Here is a 2,066-nt window from a genome sequence, read left to right on the forward strand (position 1 = left end):
TATCTAAAAACTCATCACCAAATCCAAGGTCACATAGATTTTCTTCTATGTTAACATCTAGAAGTATGGTAGTTTTGTGTTTTACATTTGTAGTTTTGTGTTTTACATTTATGATCTATTTTGAGTTAGTTTTGTGAAAAGTATAAGATCTATATCTAGATTCATTTTAAAATCTTCTCCTCTCTCCTCTTTTTCTGCCTTCTCTGGTTTTGCCCAGCATTTTATATAATTCCACTGTTTTTCTCTCTTAGCATATCAACTATTTTTCTTTTTAAAAACTTTTTAGAGGATGCCCTAAAGTTGGTGAAATATATATTTAGAACTAATCTTAGTCCACTTTCAAATAATACTTTATGGCTAGTGCAGGTACCTGACAACAGAGTCCCAATTCCTCCCTTCTCACATTGCTGCTATTCGTTTCGTGTAACCATATGCTATTGAAACTGCCTTTGCAAGAATTATAGGAGTGAAAGAAATCTAACCTAACTGACTTCATCTTGCTGCTAACCTCACAAGCTAACAGCTGTTGCTCATTCCTGGATGTAGGCCTTGCTCTGGAAAGAATTAAGTTTGTAGTTTAACTTTGAAGCAAAAATGATATTACCTCACAAAGCTGACCCTGTGGGGACTGAAACTCCTTTTGTAAGACTAATGAAAGGCAACAAGTTTAGGATTATGGGAAGGGCCTGAATTCTGCTAAAGTGTATGCCCAGTTAAAAAATAACCAGCCATTATTCTTTAGCTTGCTTTTCTATAATCACTTACTGCTCAAGAGTCGTGTAGCCAGAAGTCACAAGATGTGTATTCTCTCCAACTGCTCCTACAAATAATATCACTATTGTAAAACCTAGGATTGGTCTTTGAGATATTTCACACTTTTGTATTCTGACAACTAGCTGACTCCACCCAGATCCATGACTCATATCAAGGAACTGACTCAACTGGTCCTGGGATCACACTCAGAAACTGACTCAGTGCACAAGACCGTTTTCAACACTACTATGATTTCATCCCCAACCAATCAGCAGCACCCATTCCCTAGCCCCCTGCCCATCAAATTATCCTGAAAAACCCTAGCGTCTGAGCTCTTGAGAAGGCAGAGAAACATTCCCATCCTTCTACTTGGCTGGTGCTGAGATTATTAAACTTTCTCTACTGCAAGTTCTGCTGTTCTCAGCGTTTGGCTTTTCTGGGCAGCAGGCAAGAAGAACCCATAGAGTAATTACTCTATAGTCATACAATACATTGTTACTATTATTATTTTGGTAAACAGCTATCTCTATTAGATCAATTAAGAATGAAAGTAAAAGATATTATGTTGTTTTCATTCATTCTTCTCTGATGTGCTCTTCCTTCCTTTATGTAGATCTGAGTTTCTAGCCTACATAATTTTCCATTTCTCTGAATAACTTCCTTCACAATTTCCTGCGGAGAAGGTTTACTTGTGACAAATTTCCTCAGTTTATGTTAGTCTGAGAAATTCTTTATTTCTCCTTCACTTTTGAAGGATAATTTCACTGGATATAGAACTCTAGGTTGATGCTTTTGTTCTTTCACCACTGAATATTGCACCCCACTCTTCCCTTGTTTCATGATTTCTCTTGAGAAAGCCAATGTAATTCTTATCCCTGTTCCTCTACAGCTAAAGTGTTTCTCCTTCCCCTCTGGCCTCTTTGAAGGTTTTCTCTTTGTTTTTCTGTAGTTTAAATATAATATGCTTAGGGTATTTTTGTTGTTGTTGTTGATGGTGATGTTGTTGATGATGTTGTTGTTATTTTGTCATTGATCCTATCCTGCCTGATGTTCTGTGAGCCATTTGGATCTGTGGCTTGGTGTCTGCTAATTTTAGAAAATTTTCAACCATTGGTACTTCAAATGTTTCTTCTGCTCCTTTCTCTCTTTCTTTTCCTTCCAATATTTCAACTACACATATATTACACCTTTTGTAATTGTCCCACAGTTATTGGATACTCTGTTCTGGTTTTTCCATTCTTTTTTCTCCTTGTATTTCAGTTTAGGAGGATTCTGTTGGCATATCTTCAGTCTTATTGATTCTTTGGTTGGCC

At 36.6% G+C, this 2,066-nt stretch overlaps 1 annotated feature.

The window, feature by feature from the left end:
• Positions 403 to 1,602: an enhancer, noted in NCBI's record as "P300/CBP strongly-dependent group 1 enhancer chr7:103904410-103905609 (GRCh37/hg19 assembly coordinates)". NCBI's record gives its function as "activates an origin of replication core promoter dependent on BRD2, BRD4, P300/CBP, MED14 and CDK7 cofactors, with strong dependence on P300/CBP, by STARR-seq in HCT116 cells {active_cell/tissue: HCT116}" and the evidence as "EXISTENCE:reporter gene assay evidence [ECO:0000049][PMID:35650434]".

Source organism: Homo sapiens, chromosome 7 (assembly GCF_000001405.40).
Source record: "Homo sapiens chromosome 7, GRCh38.p14 Primary Assembly".
Taxonomy (NCBI): Eukaryota; Metazoa; Chordata; class Mammalia; order Primates; family Hominidae; genus Homo; species Homo sapiens.